Source organism: Homo sapiens, chromosome 10 (genome assembly GCF_000001405.40).
Source record: "Homo sapiens chromosome 10, GRCh38.p14 Primary Assembly".
NCBI classification, from domain to species: domain Eukaryota; kingdom Metazoa; phylum Chordata; class Mammalia; order Primates; family Hominidae; genus Homo; species Homo sapiens.
In genome coordinates, this window is record NC_000010.11 from 72,495,596 (window position 1) to 72,517,233 (window position 21,638).

Consider the following 21,638-nt stretch of genomic DNA (forward strand, 5'->3'; position numbering starts at 1 on the left):
AGTGAGCCAAGATTGTACCATTGTACTCCAGCCTGGGCAACAAGAGTGAACCTCTGTCTCAAAAAAAAAAAAAAAAAAAAAAAGACAACTAGCTACCGTAATAAAGAAATTAGATTTTTGTGACTTAACCTATGCTAATGACACTCTTTAGATGTGACTAAGTTTGGCATTCACCCAAAAACTGTTTTCAATTTAGTGTTCAAACAGAAAAATTTAGACAGTCTAACTAATTTTCTAGCTTTTATCATGTATACATACATAGAAAATAACTGGTCCCTTAAGACATTTAAAAATGCTAGACGGGATACTGAGGATGCCTGGAGCAATATAAAATTATGGTAAATTATGGTATTCATACTAAGTCATCATTTGGAATTTTTTTTTTTTTTGAGACAAGGTCCTGCTCTGTCACCCAGGCTAGAGTGCAGTGGTGTGATCTCAGCTCACTGCAACCTCTGTCTCCTGGTCTCAAGCGATCCTCCCACCTCAGCCTCGCAATTAGCTGGAACCACAGGCACACAACACCACACCAGGCTTATTTATTTATTTTGAGTTGGAGTTTTGCTCTGTCGCCTAGGCTGGAGTGCAGTGGCACAATCTCGGTTCACTGCAACTGCCACCTCCCAGGTTCAAGCAATTATTCTGCCTCAGCCTCCTGAGCAGCTGGGATAATATAGGCATGTGCCACCACGCCTGGCTAATTCCTTTTTTTTTTTTTTTTTCCGAGACAGAGTCTTGTTCTGACGCCCAGGCTGGAGTGCAATGGCATGATCTTGGCTCACTGCAACCTCCACCTCCTGGGTTCAAGCGATTCTCCTGCCTCAGCCTCCTGAATAGCTGGGATTACAGGCATGCGCCACCACACCTGGTTAATTTTTGTATTTTTAGTAGAGATGGGGTTTCATTATGTTGGCCAGGCTGGTCTTGAACTCCTCACCTCAAGTGATCCACCTGCCTTCACCTCCCAAAGTGCTGAGATTATAGGCATGGGCCACCGTGCCTGACTGCCCAGCTAATTTTTGTAGAGACTGGGTTTCACCATGTTAGCCAGGCTGGCCTCAAACACTTGACCTCAGGTGATCCACCCACCTTGGCCTCCCAAAGTGCTGGGATTACAGGCGTGAGCCACCGTGCCTGGCCTAATTTTTGTATGTTTAATAGAGACAGAGTTTCACTATGTTGCCAAGCCTGGTCTCGATCTCTTGGGTTCAAGTGATCCACCTGCTTTGGCCTCTCAAAGTGCTGGGATTACAGGAGTGAGCCACTGTGCCCGGCCAGAAAAATTCTCAGATATTTATTTAGCCAACAAATATATATGGAATTCTTACTATATGCCAGACAATGTGCTGTATCAATATCTTCTCCAAAACAGGCAGTATCAGGCAAACCATTCAATGACAACCACTATTTCCTGCCTTGATTCCCTTTGTGTACCCTTTAAATTCCCCAACAAAACAAATAAGAGTTTTCTTTTTTTTTTTTGAGATGGAGTCTCACTCCGTCGCCCAGGCTGGAGTGTGGTGGCGCCATCTCAGCTCACTGCTACCTCTGCCTCCTGGGTTCAAGCAATTCTCCTGCCTCAGCCTCCTGAGTAGCTGGGATTACAGGCACATGCCACTGCATCCGGCTAATTTTTGTATTTTTAGTAGAGATGGCGTTTCACCATCTTGGCCAGGCTTGTCTTGAACTCCTGACCTCGTGATCCACCCACCTCAGCCTCCTAAAGTGCTGGGATTACAGGTGTGAGCCACCACGCCCAGCCCAAATAAGCATCTTTATAAGTTGTTCCAGAAGCAGGTTAAGCAACACCATGATAAGACGTAAGCATAATCAAACACTATTAAGCCGAGGGTTTAAATGAAAGGTCCAGCTATACAGATGGACCAATACATTTGATTCCGGTCTCGCTTCTAAGAGGCAGACAATGTGAAAATGTGGGGCTCGCAGACCAAAAGCAAACATCATCTTTAAATATCATCAATTATTGAGGGCTAAATTTCTTCAGAGCCATCCCAACCATCAGTAGAAGAAAAACAGGACAGAGCAGAGGCTGAGGAAGATAGGATAAGTGAGAAGAGTTCTAAGGAACTGGGATCAGGGCAAGTCTCCACAGTTTGCTCTAGGGTAATGAAGGGGAGACTATGGCAGAAAGGCCCACTGAGGTCCACTTGACACTGTAATCAATGGTATAGTGATAGATGGGTGCCTGGGTCTCCTTTCTACCTAGAAAGAACTCAAAGAAGCCACATCTCAAATATGCTTTCATTCAAATATTTTTAGAATTACCACTAGCTAAATACAATATCAGGTGCTCTGGAAATACAAAGCCATATGACATAGTTCCCACTTCAAGATATTATTTAATGATGTCCTATCCACTGCCTAAGTTTTCTTCTTACTTAGAGATTCTTTTGAATTAACAAGGACTTTCATGTAAATATTTCTGTAGCTGTTATGGGACACCATCATTCATTCATGATTTAATGTGAACATTGCTTTTAAATTATGACAAAAAATAAAATTCTAGTTGAGATATCCTAGGAGAAGGATAATTTTGATTGGACAAGTCAGATGAGAAGAAGGAATACTTTTACATGTTAGGTCAGTTTCTAGAAGGCAGAAAATTTAGCCTGTTTTGAAGTTTTACTTTTCCTGCTCCATCTACTTTCTCCCACTGATAAATGAGGCCTAAGAAAGAAGGAAGCCTGGGCCGGGCACAGTGGCTCACACCTGTAATCCCAGCACTTTGGGAGGCCAAGGTGGGCGGATCACCTGAGGTCAGGAGGTCGAGACCAGCCTGGCCAACACGGTGAAACCCCGTCTCTATTAAAAGTACAAAAATTAGCCAGGTGTGGTGATGCGTGCCTGTAGTCCCAGCTACTTGGGAGGTTGAGGAAGGAGAATGGCTTGAACCCAGGAGGCGGAGGTTGCAGTGACTTGAGATAGCGCCATTGCACTCCAGCCTCGGTGACAGAATAAGACTCTGTATCAAAAAAGAAAGAAAGAAAGAAAAAAAGAAGCCTTCGGATTTACTCCCTGCTTTCCTGTTAGGCTTTCCTTTCTGAGAGCCTAAGGAGCAGAGAAGGAGAACCAAGGGCAAACCTCCTCTCTTCAATATCTCCCATTTGATCCTCAGATACCACAAGGAATTGATTCCATGGAAAAGTCACAGAAAGCTTTACAGGGCGACATATGCTATTCAAGAGAGGACAAAATTTATGCAGACATAATTCTGGTGGCAGTATCAGCCCATATAGCATACTCCTGACCACCTCGTTCCATACTCCTTTCTTTTTAGAGCATAGCCCCATCTTGACTATTTGTATTAAAAGGGTAGGGCTCCAGAAATCACGTGTCTGTAACTATATTTCCACAACATTTTAAATGAATATTAGAATTTTATTACATTATAAGAATATTATTATTTTCAAAACAATGAGGCTGGACTGATTCAAATAAAATACAAGTATGAAAGGCTAATAAGGAGAACCTCAAGGGTAAAAAATTATAAAATCGCCCTCAAGATACAGTCAAAATACATTTAGATCTTATTTTTCTTATAAGCCACAATTTGCTTCTTTGCCCTCTCTGTTCTCTGCTTAGCCTTGAACAAATCACAAGCAATTATTCCCAAAGGATAAATTTCCTTTTTCAGATTAAAAAATATTTTAATATTCTAGAATAGTCACAAGCAGATTTGAGAGATTAAACACAACTGCCACTTCTTTCTTGCTTGAATGAATTCAACATCATCTATAAATAACTTGATATATTTCAAAGCATTATTTTAATGTTTTGACAGAAGCTGCATTATCATAAAACCAATGAATTAACCACAAAAACAGGTTATGCCAGAAAAGGAAGTTATTGGTAAATAACACATTGTGATACTTTTGGCCTTACAATATGCAAATGAGTATTTCAGAAATTCTAAGCACCTCTCATAGGCTAAAATAACACTGAAAAAGATTAGCCTTTTACCTTCTTAATCTTATTCTTCATAACATCAATTTAGCAATGGCAGATAATTTCCAGACATAGAAATTATGAAGATAATAGCTAAACCAAATTTTCTGTGTAACTTCCCCAACTCTGATGTCCCAGTAAGAAGGATTTGTAACTGCTTTATACCTGTTGATACATCTCATCTGTTAGGCCTTGCCCATATTTTTCAATACATCACTCGACCTGAAAAACTTATTTTCATCTAAAACTTTTATAACATTTTCATTAGATGGAATGGCACTGATCAGCACCACACTTTCCAAGTCACATACACTTTGTGATCTGCTCTTGACTTCAGCATGGCAAGAGAAATAAGATATTACACAACTTCACTTGAATGCTATTGTAATATCTCAAAAGGCTTGTATATTTGTGAGAAAGATGCATCATAATGAGGATGTAGCTTAATTTTCAGTAAATCAAATCTGGCTACTGTGAAAACACTTAATTCAATTTCTCCACTGATTCTCTAAAATCTAAAGAGATAATCAAAATGAGAATATAATGAATTATGCCAGATTTTCATTAAGTCTGCCTCCAAATTTTAAAGCCCTGGGTACCAAACATTTTTGCTTTGATTTTTCTGGTAGCTTTTCAAAGATTAATAGTAAAAAGTAAGGAAGTTGCTTAATGATAAACTATTATATACATACATACATACATATATATATATATATATATATATATATATATATATATATATTTTTTTTTTTTTTTTTTTTTTTTTTTTTTTGAGACAGTCTTGCTTTGTTGCCCAGGCTAGGGTGCAGTGGCGTGATCTCAGCTCACTGCCGGATCACTAACCTCTGCCTCCCAGGTTCAAGCGATTCTTGTTTCTCAGCTCCCTAATAGCTGGGATTACAGGTACTCACCACCATACCCAGGTAATTTTTGTATTTTTAGTAGAGACAAGGTTTCACCATGTTGGCCAGGCTGGTCTCCAACTCCTGACCTCGAATGATCTTCCTGCCTCAGCCTCCCAAAGTGCTGGGATTACAAGCATGAGCCACTGTGCCCAATTATAAATGTTTTATTATTGCCTCCCCATCAAGCTATCTAGAATTGTTTTCATGTTATTAGCCCACAGGGTTAATAACTTTAGATTGAACATATATGAAGACAAAGAACACACAATAATATTTCATAATTGTCAATGGCCAAGGGCCAAATTCTAAGTTATATTACCATTACCTAGTGAATCTTAGCATTAGTAAGAATGATCCAAGTCAATAAATAATATTTAGCATTCCAAAGAAATTCTGATAACCCTTCTCTATATCTAGTTATGCAGAAAAATCTCTGACTTCTGTGTATAAAATTTAAGACCATCAGCTAATGTTCCAGTTGGTTAGTGCAGAGAAGTAAGCTACTAATAACCATGCTTGTTTATTCCCACTCAATTCTTATTAACTTACTTTAAGAATCAGCAGTCCTTGGAAATTATTTAATAATAATTATTAACAGTCTCTTCATCTTGCCTAGAATGAATCTGAATTCATTTTATTAATGAGTAGTTATCTAGTAAATACTTAATATTCTATTTAATATGGATGCTATGGCTCATGCTGAAAATTCTTCAAGTTAATCCATCAAAGCTGATTAGAGAGATAAGGTTTAAAGCAATAGAATGTATGAGTTAGGAGTAAAGAGGGGATACAAATATATGAATTCTGAATTATAAGAAACCAAGCTTGTTTGGGAATAGATTAATTAAAATACACATTTTCCTCATTTCACTGGTACTGGGTACAGACTGAAGACATCAACAGCTACAAGGACTATTCTAAATTTAGGATATCAACAGCAAAGTAGAGTCTTAAGTTTGCTAAAGGTTTTTTTTTTTTAATAAAATGAAAAAAACAACATATGTTATATTCTTGCTCTGTTACCTTGCCACCATGCTTAATATAGATATGTCTGTAGTGAATATCATTACAAATTTATAATCAGTCATGCAGCTTATATTCTAGATTGGAAAATGGACAATAACAGTATAAAAAATAAATTATATGAAATGTTAAATAGTGATATGTGCCAAGGAGAAAAAATAAAGAAAGAGGTTTAGGAGATGTGTGTTGTATGAGTGAAATGGAATAAAAGGTGTTTAAACGTGTAGGTTGGCCAAGGAAGGCCCATTACCCGAATCACATACAGAGAAGAGTAAGAAATTCATGCCACTGCTTATTGTAAGCACGAGATATTTCTGCCAGATTGATTGTTATTCTGGATACGTGTCCTAGAAACTCTTATTTAGAAAAACCAAACTTCCAAAAAGTTTAAATAAGAAGAATTAACTCTAATGGAAGAAATTATATTGCATAACATGCTTTCTTTAGAAAAACAGCTTTCTTAATTTTATTTTTAAGTCAAGAAAAAAACCCACATGATTTCCTATATGTAGTTGTTGACTTTTATTTTAGACCACATAGTAGTTCATAAGCTACTTTGAGGATTCAAGTTTCAATCCATTAGAGCACAGTGTTCATATTCTTCAAAATGATGGCGATTTCTTGAACACCTGTGAGTTCATTAACTTTGTTTTGCTGTTTTTTTTTTTGTTTTTTTTTTTTTTTTGAGTCAGTCTCGCTCTGTCTTCCAGGCTGGAGTGCAGTGGCGCAACCTCAGCTCACTGCAACCTCTGCTTCCCAGGTTTAAGCAATTTTCCTGCCTCAGCCTCCTGAGTAGCTGGGACTACAGGTATGTACCACCATGCCCGGCTAATTTTTGTATTTTTTAGTGGAGATGGGGTTTCGCCATGTTGGCCAGGCTGGTCTCGAACTCCTGACCTCAAGTTATCCACCCACCTCAGCCTCCCAAAGTGCCGAGATTACAGGTGTGAGCCACCGCGCCCAGCCTTATTCCGTTAACTTTGAATGAAAACAGCTCCTCAGAAATATGGCGGTCCCACAGCATCTGGCTGATGCCCTTTGCACTGTTCTAGCTGGTTTTCTGTGGCCCTGCTATCCATCAGAGTAACAGATGAATGCATATGCTAATGTACTTTCCCTATTCCCAAGCCACTCCCTGGCAAAGATTTTCCCTAGGGTATTGGGTGCCCTCTCGCAGATGACTTGGGAACCATTTAGTGTATTTAGACTGTAATGATCCCTTGTTACCCACAAGAAAGGAGAGTCACTGAGTGCCTCATTTCCTGTCATCCTAGCGGCAATCTGAACATGGGAAAGAACTGATCTCAATGTCATTTCTCATATTTCTCCCCATCTTGTTATAATAGATAAAGTAGACAATGCAGTGTGCAAAACTCAGATTGCAAGGATGCTTGAACTGCCCACTATCTATAGGAGAGTTTATGACCAGCCTTTCCGTAGTTCAGCCTTAGACAAAGAAGCAGCACTGAAGTTACAGCTTAACACTGCTGAATATGTGACCACAGCAGTAATGTCAAGTGACAGGAGCCCAGATGCTGGGGTTGGCCTGGGTTCGAATCCTAAACTGTCTCCTTACTCACTGTGGGTCTAGGGACAGGTTCTTTAACCCTCTGTATGCCTCAATTTCCTCATTTGTAAAATGAAAGTAACAATAGTATAAACTTATAGGGTTGATTTGAGGAAAATATGTCACTGGAGTCTCAGCGGGAGAGGAAGGGAGATCATAGAAAAAGTATTTGAAGAAACATATAAAGGCACAGGTCTAAAAAGCTCAATGAACCCAAAGACAAGAAACATGAAGAAAACTGCATCAAGGCACATCATAATTAAAAAGAACATGTGCCAAAAATAAACAAGTGGTTCTCAGACAGGGATGATTCTTCCCCACCCCCAGCACATAGACGACATTTAGCAATATCTGGAGACAGTTTTGCTTGTCATAGCTGGGGGAGGGTGTAGGCTGTGCTGCTGGCATCTAGCAAGCAGAGGTCAGGAATGTTGCTAAATATCCTAAAGTGAACTGGACAGCCCTCACAATAATGAATTATCCTGCCCAAAATATCAACAGTGCTAAGAGTGAGAAATCCTAAAGGCATGTTATAATCAAATGTTTAAAACCAGTAGTAATATCAGGCAAGAGAAAAAAATAAAAGGCATCCAAATAGGGAAATAAGAAGCCACATTATCTCTTCACTGACAATATGATTCTATACCTAGAAAACCCAAAATACTCTGCCAAAAGGCTCCTAGACCTGAAAAATGACTTTACTGAAGTTTCAGGATACAAAATCAATGTACAAAAATCAGTAGCATTTTTACACACCAATAACTTTCAAGCTGAGAGCCAAATCAAGAACTCAATTCCATTTACAATAGACACACACACACACACACACACACACACACACACATACACCCTAGGAATATACGTGACCAAGAAGGTGAAAGATCTCTACAAGGAGAACCACAAAACACTGCTGAAAGAAATCAGAAATGATACAACCAAATGGAAAAACATGCCATACTCATGGGTTGGCAGAATTAATATTGTTAAAATGACCATACTGCCCAAAGGAATCTACAGATTCAATGCTATTACTAATAAATTACCAATGTCATTTTTCACAAAATCAGAAAAAAACTATTCTAAAGTTCATATGGAATCAAAAAAGAGCCTGAATAGCCAAAGCAATCCTAAGCGAAAAGAGGAAACCCAGAGGTATCACATTACAAACTATACTATAAAGCTACAGTAACCAAAACAGCATGGTCCTGGTACAAAAACAGACACATAGACCAATGGAATAGAACAGAAAACCCGGAAATAAAGCTGTACACTTACAACCATCTTATTTTCAACTAAGCTGACAAAAATAAACAATGGAGAAAGGACTCCCTATTTAATAAATGGTGCAGAGATAACTAGCTAGCCATATGCAGAAGAATGAAACTGGACCCTTACCTTGCATCATATACAAAAATTAACTCAAGATGGATTAAAGATTGAAATGTAGGACCTCAAACTATAAAAATCCTAGAAGAAAACCTAGGAAATACCATTCTAGACATCAACTTTGGGGCGAAATTTATGAGTTATTCCCCAAAAGCAATTTCAACAAAGGCAAAAATTGACAAGTGAGACCTAATTAAACTAAAGAGTCTCTGCAAAGCAAAAGAAACCATCAACAAAGTAAACAGACAAACTACAGAATGGGGGAAAATATTCACAAACTATGCATCTGACAATGGTCTAACATCCAGAATCTATAAGGAGCTTAAATAACTCAACAAGCAAAAAAGCAAATAACCTCATTAAAAGTGGGCAAAGGACATGGATAGATCCTTCTCAAAAGAAGACACATAAGCAGCCAACAAACATGAAAAAATGCTCAGTATCACTAATCATCAGAGAAATGCAAATCAAAGCTACAATGAGATGCCATCTCACACCGGTCAGAATGGCTATTATTATCATTATTATTATTATTATTATTATTTTCGAGATGGAGTTTTGCACTGTCTCTCAGGCTGGAGTGCAGTGGAGTGTGATCTCGGCTCACTGCAACCTCCACCTCCCGGGTTCAAGTGATTCTCCTGCCTTAGCCTCCTGAGTAGCTGGGATTACAGGCACCCACCACCACACCTGGCTAATTTTTGTATTTTTTTTTTAGTAGAGATGGGGTTTCACCATGTTGGCCAGGCTGATCTTGAACTCCTGACCTCAAGTGATCTGCCTGCCTTGGCCTCCCAAAGTGCTGGGATTATAGGCATGAGCTACCATGCCCAGCCTAGAATGGCTATTATTAAAAACACAAAAGATAAGAGATGCTGACGAGGCTGCAGAGAAAAGGGAATCCTCATACACTGTTGGTGGGAATGTAAATCACTTCAGCCACTGTGGAAACCAGTTTGACGATTTCTCTAAGAACTACAAACAGAACTACCATTCAACCCAGTAATCCCATTACTGGATACATACCCAAAGGAAAATAAATCGTTCTACCAAAAAGACACATGCACTTGTATGTTCATCGCAGATTTATTCATAATAGCAAAGACACAGAATCAACCTAGGTGCCCATCAGTGGTGGACTGGATAGAGAAAATGTGGTACACAACACTATGGAATACTACACGGTCATGAACAAGAATGAAATAATGCCCTCTGCAGCAACATGGATGTAGCCAGAGGCCATCATCCTAAGTAAATTAACACAGGAACAGAAAACCAAATACCGCACGTTCTCATTTATAAGTGGGAGCTAAACACTGGGTACATGTGGACATAAAGATGGGAACAACTGACACTAGGGACTACTACAGAGGGTAGAGCGGGAGGGGGACAAGGGCTGAAAACCTACCTATTGGGTACTATGCTCACTATCTGGGAGATGAAATCATTCATACCCAAACGTCAGCATCACCCAATATCATATAACAAACTTGTACGTGTCCTCTCTGAATCTAAAATAAAAGTTGAAATTATAAAAACAAAAAACAAGCAAGCAAAAAAAAAAAAAAACTAGTGATAAAGAGACTCTTAAAATCATACCCTGATTCTATTTTCTTCATTCCTGACAAACATAGAAAGTAACTTACAAAGTAAGCACTTCATTGTAAATCACTCACCACATTCAAACTAGGAGTTGAGCACCATAAAGTAAATGTGCTGGGAATGGCAGAGCTACTTGGAGGGGTTTCTAGAACCCAAGGGTCATTGTGACTTTTTAAAAACAAGCTTTTAAGTGGTTAAGGGAGCTATGCGATGTACCAGGTACTCTGAAGGTTCTGTTCTGTGTTCCTTCTGACATTTGGAAAGATATGAAGTTAACAGGACTAAGCAGTGGACACAAGTTCAAAGCTTATTTCAGCTCAACAAACATTTGCTACAACTACTTACAAGTATACATTTTATACCAATGCAGGTCTCTTCATTTAATGCCATAGTCTTTCTGCTACATCATGGCTATTTGCTGTATAATAAATTCTGTCCAAAGTCACAAAAATGTTTTAAAAATTCCCACCAATTTGGGTCATTTTTTAAAAAAGATAAGGTTTATGGATCTTTAAAAATCAGACACAAAGTAACATGTTGTGACAGAATAAAAAAATAAAAACCAAGACAGATTTCCACTAAATATTAGGCACTAAACTATTAATAGCTACTTTATATTCATGATGTCATCATTCTCAAATAAATAATTTGGGTTTGATATTACTGCCCCCTTCATTTTACAGACACAACAGAAGAACAAATCTATTGTCTTCCCCCAAATCACAAGCTAAGAAATGGTGGGGCTGGGATCTGAACTAGAGATGCTTTTAAAAGTACATTATGATCTTAAGTTGTATGCTGCTGGAGTTATTTTGGATTTTCATAACAAATCAATGTGTATTTTCATTGCCAGGGTACTGCTCCACCGTATGAATTTATTCAGACACTTTGGTGTCCCAAAGTCAGCTGTGGCAAGGCATATACATATATATATATAATTTCCTTGTCAATCCTTACACACTTACACAGAGGAATAAGAACGAAAGTGGTCACAGTCATGGCAGGACATGTATATGCCACTTATTAAAAACTATCTTCTAGTAGCTTTATGTTTACAGATGGCTGGCTTGGAGAAGGTGAAAAAGAGAGGGTTATTTTTGTTTGATATGTCCCAGACCAAAAAAAAAAAAAATTGCAAATCACTTATTTCAAACATACAAATCTGAACTCTGGTTCACCTTAGGTAGATTTTAATAGACTACACATGGAGAGCTATGAACATAACATTTTGTTTAGTTTTTCTGAATGGTTAAAAAAAGTCACATCAAAAAGTAATAAAATTTAAAATCACTTAGAGTAGCATACTAATCAACAAAGCTATTGATAGTTTTAAAAAATCAGAAACTCCTCAATGCTCTAAGTGAGTCAAAATTGAGTTTTGTGTCTTCAGAAGTATTCCTCCAAGGTTAAAAAACAAATATTCAACTCAATTAGGTCAACCAAGCCAATTTTCTTCTTTAGTGGAGGAAATGATAGATCAAAATATGTGTTATTGGAGAAGCAGTAAGTTAATGAAGGATATAGTAGTAAGCAATACATGACTCACCTTGACAGAATACAGAGTGACAGACAGTTAAAGGTAGATGTCACTTCTTAGTTTTTTTGCTGCTGTTGTTTTTGAGACAGGGTGTCACTCTGTTGCCCAGGCTGGAGGGTGGTGGCCTCATCTCAGCTCACTGCAACCTCCGCCTCCCAGGCTCAGGCTATCCTCCCACTTCAGCCTCCTAAGTAGCTAGGACTACACGTATGCTTTTGTAGAGATGGGGTTTCACCATGTTGCCCAGGCTGGTCTTGAACTCCTGAGTTCAAGTGATCTGCCCACCTTGATCTCCCAAAGTTCTGGAATTACAAGTGTGAGCCACTGTGCCCAGCCGTTTTGTTTTGTTTTTAACTTTACTTTGATACTTTAGTTTTCTCTTCTTTCTGCCTCTCTCAGGTGGTTCTATACCCAAGTTACAGTAAATTAAAAGCAAATGAAATTTTATGTAACTTATAATTCATTATAATTCATTAACTCTACCAATATGTCTTGTTTTATAAACATATAAACAATTATGTTTATAGTCCTGTATCTGCTCTACAAATGGAAAAAGAAAACGTTTATACTTACTGGAAAGAACAGTTGTGAGGAAAATGTAGTCTGAAAAGGATATGAGCCCACATTCTCCAAGGGTGTAAAATATACTGCCTTCATCAGCAAATTTTTCTCGTTCCTGGGAAATTTTCTATAGAATGTATGGGTCCCACCAAAAGACAAAAATATATAAGTGAATTAGAATATAAATAGTAAGAGATGAATCACCATTTATCTGACAGTTTTATGCTATTTATCATAAGCATTTCTCTCATGGCCATTCAAAATCAATGGATCCTTTACAGTTTTCAAGATGATGAAAATTTTAAGACAAAAATTATGTTTTCATTTCAACACTAGTTCAATATGAACATTAGAAAATAATTTCAATGTTAGAACCCTCTGCCATTGCACATATACAGGCCCACTTCAGAACAGGTTTTGTTTCTTAGTTTGAAAAACAATCCACCTTCTCCTACAGAGGTATACGTGGTAGTAAACAAATAAACAAACACATGAAAAAACTAAAAGGAAATCAGTTTTGTCCAAGAAAAACTAGACTGATAGTGATTAGAAAGAAAGAAGTGAGCAACTATTTCCAAGGCCTATACAAATGCTCAGAAAACCAATTTTTGAAAAACTAATTTTACTTGATAGCCCCAAGAATCTTAGCTTCAGAATACAGACCAGTATGCAGAGTGAATAGCATCTCTGAAATATAATGCCAAATCAGTCGTACACACTTTCGGCAATTTAATCATATCTACTGTTACTTTAATGGAGGCTCCTAGATGTCAGCTATTTGATGAAACTGTCTCCTACAACTTAGTTTTTACTCTAAATATATATTTCTCTTCTTTAATCTATAAATCTCACAAAGAAAGTTAGTTCTCAGCTTTGGTAATTGTCTGCCTGGCAAGTGGTCTCTTCCTGGGTGTTTAAACAAACTTACTCTGTTTTCTGAATTCTTAGCCAAAGCATAAACTTAGTTGTGACATTGAATATATTTTCAAAAACTGAAAAGGATCCACCAAAAAGTTAGACTTGAAACTAATTTCCACAAGTTCTAGACCACCAAAAATATTTAAGGAATTATTTTGAGTATAAAAAATAGATTTTAAAAACCCAAACCAATAAAGCACAATCAAAGTAATAATGTCATGCAAGCATAAAGTAAGAGGCAGCATTGCAGGCATAACTTCAAGAGGAGTATGATGAAAACTAAACCAACAAGCACCATCACACCAGCATCCAGTTACACAACTATCCAATGGGTTACCTCTGTCTAGTGGAGATCCCATCATAAACCACAAAGGAAAGAAAACTGGTTAACCAACTGAAAATACAAGTACCACACGAATCATCGTGAAGTCAGTTTGTATGATCTTCTCAATAAACTCATTCAAAATAGCCTCTACTAGATATTTACTTGTTCATAAGAAACAGTAGCTATGGACAGGTTAAAGTCCACAGGTGAATAACAATTACACAGTAGTAGGTTTTGATGGCGCTTCTACTTAGAAGAACTTTGCTGACTTCTTTTGCGGCTCACAGAAGGCATAGTCCTGCTTGATAGCATTTAGAGATTACTTCTTTGAGTTGACAACAAAAATGAGTATAGTCCAGTATGTTATTAAGGTTAGATCTCATACTACACTTGATCTTCTACCAAGAGACTGAACAGAAATTTCAGACAAAAAAAGCTACTGGATGAGAACTAGAACAGCAAAGCCCTCCACCAGGAAGTTAATATTTAAATTTCTCAAAATAAAAGAAAAAAATTTGCATTTTTTACGTTACCCAAGATACTGCAAAGGTAAACTATGTGAACAGGAAAAAATACACAAAATGAGAATAGGTCCCCAAAGGCTGACCATTACCAGCCATAACAATAAATGTGTATAGAAGCTAATATTTAATAATAATGATGTAATAAGCTTATGGGGAAATTGCTATAATTAAAATAAATAACATAGTGGAAGCCACAGGTTGAGAAACAGACAAAAGTCTAAGGATAGAGTGAAATGAGGAAGTTAAGCCAAAGAAGCAAACCTAACATTATTTTTCTAACAATCATCCGGGCCATGCTGATGCTGAGAAGGTAACATAAGGGCAAATCTAATTTTGTTGGTAACAAAATTTGAGTTTGACATAACTTCAAACTCACAGAAAAGTTGAAAGATTAGTATAAAGTACTATTATATATTTTTTACCAATTCACCAACAGTTTACATATTACACAATTTGCCTTGTATTTTTTCAACATGCCACTTTGAAAGTAAATTGGAGACATCATGCCACTTTATGCTTAAGTACCTCAGCATAGATTTCCTGGGAACAAAGACATTCTCTAATGGTCACAATCCCAAATGCCATAATCCCAAACGTTGAAATCCCCAAAGATCAAAATTTCTAAAGCCTAAAATCCCCAAAATGTAATTCTGATACATAATTTATAGCACAGTGTATATTTAATAAAACCAGGAAATTTAGTATTGATACACATACTATTATCTAATTCAGTCCTTTTTTATTTTTTTTTTGAGATGGAGTCTCGCTCTGTCACCCAGGCTGGAATGCAGTGGCGTGATCTCAGCTCACTGCAACCTCTGCCTCCCGGGTTCAAGCCTCAGCCTCCCGAGTAGCTGAGATTACAGATGCACACCACCACGCCCATCTAATTTTTGTATTTTTAGTAGAGACGGGTTTTGCCATGTTGGCCAGGCTGGTCTTGAACTCCTGGCCTCAGGTAATCCACCCACCTTGGCCTCCCAAAGTTCTGGGATTACAGATGTAAGCCACTGCGACCAGCCAAATCCAGTCCATTTTCAAATTTTAGCAAATTGTCCCAATAATTTCCTTTATAGCTATTTTCACCCTGATCAAGGATGTAATCCACAATCATAAACTGCATTTAGTTGTCATGTCTCTTTAGTCTCCATTAATAGGGAACAGCCTTTCTTTGTCCTTATTTTTTCCTGTAGAGGTTTATTGGTTTTGATTGTGATAAATTCACCATTTTTACCATTTAACCACACAGTACGTAGGCCTTTTAGGTTTGGCTTCTTTCACTGAACATAATGTTTTTTAGGTTCACCATGTTGTAGCATGAATCAATATTTAATTCCTTTTTATTGCCAAATGATATTCCACTGTATGGGATGCTGATCATAATCCCCCCAAAATACACACTGAACACCATAATCCCGAATGTTGAAATCCCCAAAGATCAAAATCCCTAAAGTCTAAAATCCTAATTTTGGAAAACATAAAAATTCTTTAAAAATATTTGCTTACATTTTTAAAGAAGATTTGAGAAACATAAGAATGAGACAGAACACTTTGAGCAGAAGAACCACTGTTCATAAAGAAATGGCTCAAAGGGGAAATGTATAAACGCCTATCACTATAGTTAGTAATCGTATGTGCCCCAGTTATAAAGGCAGTCATCTGAAATACCCTGAGAACAAACCTAAGTCTTTTCATGAGATAAGTTAAAAACCACAATGGGTCATTATTGCATACACAGTTGCCCAAAGAGCTGAGATCTTGAGAAATTTTATCTTTCACAAATGCAGTACAAAAAAGGTCATTTCTTCATTTATTGAGGAAGTTTCAACGTTTTAACATAAACGCACAATGCTTACACACAATAAATGCTGTGATAATACACTTTTCTGAAGTCGAATTTCTGATATCCAAAGCAGCAGCAGAAAAGTCTGCCCCAGCTCTCAGAGAGAACCATTTGCTGTCTCCAGATCCCTAGCTGATTGGGTGGTGCCCATCAACATTGAGGGCAGACCGTCCCCATCTAAATCCACTCAGATTCACACACTAGTCTCCTCACCCTAACACCCAAAATAATGCTTTACCAGGTTTCTAGGTATTCCTTAATCTAGTCAAGTTGACATTTAAAATTACTGATACCTAAAATGAAGTCCACAAGTTCATCCCTTATCAATCTGGCATCCATACACAGTTGTTTTTTGTTTTTTTTTTTTTTTTTTTTTTTGAGACGGAGTCTCGTTTTGTCGCCAGGCTGGAGTACAGTGGCACAATCTCTGCTTACTGCAATCTCTGCCTCCCAGGTTCAAGCAATTCCCCTGCCTCAGCCTCCCAAGTAGCGGGATTACAGGTGCCCGCCACCACGTCTGGCTAATTTTTTGTATTTTAGTAGAGATGGGTTTCACCATATTGGCCAGATGGTCTCGATCTCCTAATCTCATGATCTGCCCACCTTGGCCTCTCAAAGTGCTGGGATTACAGGCGTGAGCCACCATGCCTGGCCCCCATACACAGCTCCTTAAGCCATACTTAACTCCCAAATAAAGATAACAAGGTAAGGAATTTTGATTTTTTGGGATTGTATCTTTCCAGATTATGATCCAAACCCCACTGTATGTATATGCCACAGTTTATCTATTCATATGCTCAAAGACATTTAGGTTATTTCCACCTTTTGGTTATTCATGTATGAGTATCTGTTTGAGTACCTGTTGTCAATTCTTTTGGTATGTACTAAGGAGAGGAACTGCTGGGTCATATGGCAGCTCTATGTTTTTGGTTTTTGTTTTGTTTTGTTTTGTTTTGTTTTGTTTTGAGACAGTGTCTCACTCTGACACCCAGGCTGGAGTGCAGTGATATGATCTTGGATCACCGCAGCCTTGACCTCTGGGGCTCAGCTCAGGTGATCCTCCCATCTCAGCCTCCCCAGTAGCTGGGACTACAGGTACATGTCACCATGCTCGGGTAATTTTTGTATTTTTTGTAGAGATGGGGTTTTGCCATGTTGCCCAGGTTGGTCTTGAACTCCTGGAGTTAAGCAATCTGCGTGCCTCAGCCTCCAGAGTGCTGGGGTTACAGGCATGAGCCACCACACTCAGCTGGTTGTTTTTTGTTTAAGACAGGAGGAGGTTGCTCTGTCGCACAGGATGAAATGCAGTGGCACAATCATGGATCTGGGCTGCATCCTTGATCTCCTGGGCTTTAAGCAATCCTTCCACCTCAGCCTCCCAAAGTACTGCGATTACAGCACCATTTACATTCCCATAAGCAATGTAAGAGGATTCCACATTCTCCACACCCTCACCAATACTTCTTCCTCTTCTTCTTTAAAAAATTATAACCATCCTCATGGATATGACATGGTATCTCACTGTGATTTTGATTTACATTCCCCTAATACCTAATGATGCTCAGCATCTTTTCATGTGCTTTTTGACCATCTGTATATCTTCTTTGGAGAAATGTCTATCCAAATCCTTTGCTCATTTTTGAATTTGTTATTTCTCATTTGGCTGTTGAGTTCTAATCGAAGTTCTTTATATATTCTGGATATTAGATCCTTATCATAGACATATCTGCAAATATTTTCTCCTATTCTGTGTGTTGCCCCTTCACTCTTGATAATGTCCTATGAAGCAGAAAAGTTTTAAATATTGAAGTCCCATTTATCTATTTTATTATTTGTGCTTTTGATGTTATATTTAATATTTCATTACCAATCCAAGGTCATGAAGATTTACCCCTACTTTTCTACTAAGGGTTTTACAGCATTTGCTCTTTTTTTTTAGGTTATTGATCCATTTTGAGTTAAATTTTGTATATAATGTGAAGTAGGGGGTTCACCTTCATTCTTTTGTACGTGAATATCTAGTGGACCTTATACCATTTGTTGAAATGGTATGACCTTTTACCACTGTCTTACATGCTTGTTGAAATTCAATTAACCATAGATGTGTGGGTTTATTTCTGAACTCTCAATTTTCTTCCATTGTCTGTGTTTATGCCAGTACCACATCATTTACATTTTTGTAATTTAAAAAAATTGCAGTAAAATGCATATAACAAAATTTACCACTATAAACATTTTAAAGTATAAGTCTCTTCAGCTCTGTGCATTTTTTTTTTCATTCTTTTTCCTCTCTGCCTCAGACTAGATAATATCAATTGACCTATATCTTCAAGTTCACTAATTCTTTCTTCTGCCTGCTCAAGTTTGCTGGTTGAATCCCTCTAGTCAATTTTTCAACTCAGCTCTTGTACTTTTCAGTTCCAGAACTTCTATTTGGTATCTTTTAAACAATTTCTATGTATCTATTGAAATTTTCTGTTAGTTCATACATCATCCTTTTAGCTACTTAACTATACTTTAGGCAGTTGATCTAAAGTCTTTGAGTAGTACATATAATGTCCGTGCCTCCTCAAGGATACTCCCTATTTCTTTTTTTTTTCTTTCTGTGATTGGGCTGTAATTTATTGTTTCTATGTATGCATAATTTCTTGTTGAAACTGGACATTTTGTATATTATAATGTGGTAACTCTCGAAATCGCATTCTTCCCCTTCCTCAGGGTTTGTTGTTGCTACTTACTGTGGGTTGTAGTTGTTTGTTTAATGACTTTATTAAACTCTTCTTGTAAAGACCTGTGACCTTTGTCATAGGTCGTCACTCAAGTCTCTGTTCACCTTAGTGAGCAACTAGTGATTTGACAGGTTTCCTTAAATGCCTGGAGCGAAAGGGGTAAAAATACTCTCCGGATCTTTTCAGACTGGCTCTGTATTGGGCATTTCTTCAATGCTTACTTAGCAAGACCATTTACAACTCTCTCTTAGCCTTAAGATTCCGGCTTGCATGGGGCTTAAATGTCAGCCAGACATGAAAGCTCAGGATCTTCTAAGGTTTCTTCTGAACATTCATTCAACCCTAAGCCTTCTACACTCCCCTGTATATGGTGAAGCATTTCAAATCACTTGTTCTCCCATGTATCTCCTTACAAAGCCTCTTCCTTCCCAGGCTATTTGGTTTGTCTGCTTGTCCCAGCTGCTACAGTATTATTTACCTTTAAATCTTTCTGACAAATGCTGCCCCAGTCCCCTAAAAGCTCTGAAGCAGGTGAAACAAAGGCAAGCCTCAAAGCTGATTCCTTAGGGAGCCACCAGACAGGTTGATGCCCACATCCAGAGTCATCCAAGAACATGATCCACATTGCTCGTTCTGACACAAGCAAACTCTGTCAGGAACATGGGCCGCCATCCTTACAGCTGCCATTGCACTGGGGACTTGGGGTGGTCACCAGGTAAGTTAAAATACAATGTTCTGTGAACAAATTTTAGCAGCTTCTTTCTTTTAAAGCGTTCTCCTGGTTGTTTTAAGTCTTTCGTTAGATTCTAGAGATCTGAACAAGTTGACTGACAATTTTTGGCAGCTTAATTTTTGGTTTAATGGCGGGATGTGGTTTTGGAGTTCCCCGCTGTGTCATTTTTTCTCTCTTTGTACTTCTTAACCTTGACAGTTTTAAAAGGCACAGGTGAGTTATATTGTAGAATATCTCTCATTTTGAATTAGGCTGATGTTTCTTTGTGATTAGATTCATATCTAGCTATCACAAACTATGAATTCATGTTGATACCTATAATTCCTTTCTAGGAAACAATTTGGTCTTATCCCTCACACACTTGTTACTACCTTCTCCAAAAATGAGAAACCTGGTTCCCATTATCATCAATATATTTATTCAAGCTTAGAATACACAAAAAGTAGTTTCACAACTGCTAATCCCATCTCTGCAGAAAACAAACATATCTATGTCATCTAGAGTCCAACATTTGTTACTTTTTTAAGGAAAATCTACATATGTTGAAAAGCAAAAATCTAATGTATAATAGACGTCTTTATCAAGATATGGAACATTTCCATCACTTCCGAAAGTTCTTTTATGCCCCTCCATAATAAATTCCTACCATATTTTCACCATAGATGAGTTTTGCCTGTTCTAGAAATTGATATAAATGGTATCACTAGTATATACTTTGGTGTCCTGCTTCTTTGGCTCAGCATAATGTGGGGAAGATTCATCCACACTGTAATCATCAGTAGTTCACTTTTATTGCTTAGTAGTATTTTATTCTGATCATTACAAAATTAAAATATATAATAAATGTAAAAGTGTTCCTATTTCTCCACATCCTCTCCAGCATCTGTTGTTTCCTGACTTTTTAATGATTGCCATTCTAACTGGCACGAGATGGTATCTCATTGCGGTTTTGATTTGCATTTCTCTAATGACCAGTGATGACGAGCTTTTTTCATATGTTTGTTGGCCACAGAAATGCCTTCTTTTGAGAAGTGTCTGTTCATATCGTTCATCTACTTTTTGTTGGGGTTATTTTTTTCTTGTAAATTTATTTAAGTTCCTTGTAAATTCTGGATGTTAGCCCTTTGTCAGATGGATACATTGCAAACATTTTCTTCCATTCTGTAGGTTTCCTGTTCACTCTGATGATAGTTTCTTTTGCTGTGTGGAAGCTCTTTAGTTTAATTGGATCCTATTTGTCAATTTTGGCTTTTGCTGCCATTGCTTCTGGTGTTTTAGTCATGAAGTCTTTGTCCATGCCTATGTCCTGAATGGTATTGCCTAGGTTTTCTTCTAGGGTTTTTATGGTTTTAGGTCTTACATTTAAGTCTTTAATCCATCTCGAGTTAATTTTTGTATACAGTGTAAGGAAGGGGTCCAATTTCAGTTTTCTGCATATGGCTAGTCAGGTTTCCCAGCACCATTTATTAAATAGGGAATCCTTTCCCCATTGCTTGTTTTTGTCAGGTTTTGCAAAGATCAGATGGTTGTAGATGTGTAGTGTTATTTCTGAGGTCTCTGTTCTGTTCCATTGGTCTATATGTCGTTTTGTGATGTGCTGTTTCTAATTCTTTAGTAAAAAGGTCTACATTGTTCTTCCATGCTTTTGCAGTTGGGGTGGTAAAGAAGTAGAGAGGGAGAGAAGTTACTTGTATGTTTTCAGAGGCATGCTCTTGTTAAAGAGTGGTTCAGGCAAATTTAGGATTATGTATCTATTTACCAACTCTTAAGAATTCATAAGTGAATTTATAGAGTATCCAAAACTCTGAGGAAGATTCTTAAAAAATTCATGACATAGTAATTACAGACACAAAAATTATCATAAAACCATCAAATTTGATCTCTCAAGTTACTCAAAGCTAGGAAGAACATCAAATAAATACGTCAAAATTTGGGAGGAAATGGGAGTTACTAGAAAACAAACTTTTAGATTATTCTGTGCCTATGGCTGCTTCTTAGCTGGTGTTTTAAAACCAAAGA

The 21,638-nt window shown here is 37.6% G+C and overlaps 1 protein-coding gene across 24 annotated transcripts in view; it reads right to left on the reverse strand.

The window, feature by feature from the left end:
* Positions 1–21,638, reverse strand: part of MICU1 (mitochondrial calcium uptake 1) — a 258,740-nt gene that overhangs the window by 128,256 nt on the left and 108,846 nt on the right. For 17 of the 24 annotated variants that reach the window (NR_199811.1, NR_199809.1, NR_199810.1 and 14 more), the window contains one exon: positions 12,560–12,674. The exons of 4 other annotated variants lie outside the window; for them this stretch is intronic. Coding sequence is in view for 15 of the 20 variants with exons in the window: in NM_001441228.1 (NP_001428157.1) it covers positions 12,560–12,674 (115 nt within the window). In the remaining 5 variants the exon portion in view is untranslated. Of the gene's footprint in view, positions 1–12,559; positions 12,675–13,802; positions 13,809–21,638 lie in introns of all 24 variants that reach the window. 3 more of the 24 variants (NM_006077.4, NM_001363513.2, NM_001441224.1) reach the window with 2 other exon arrangements.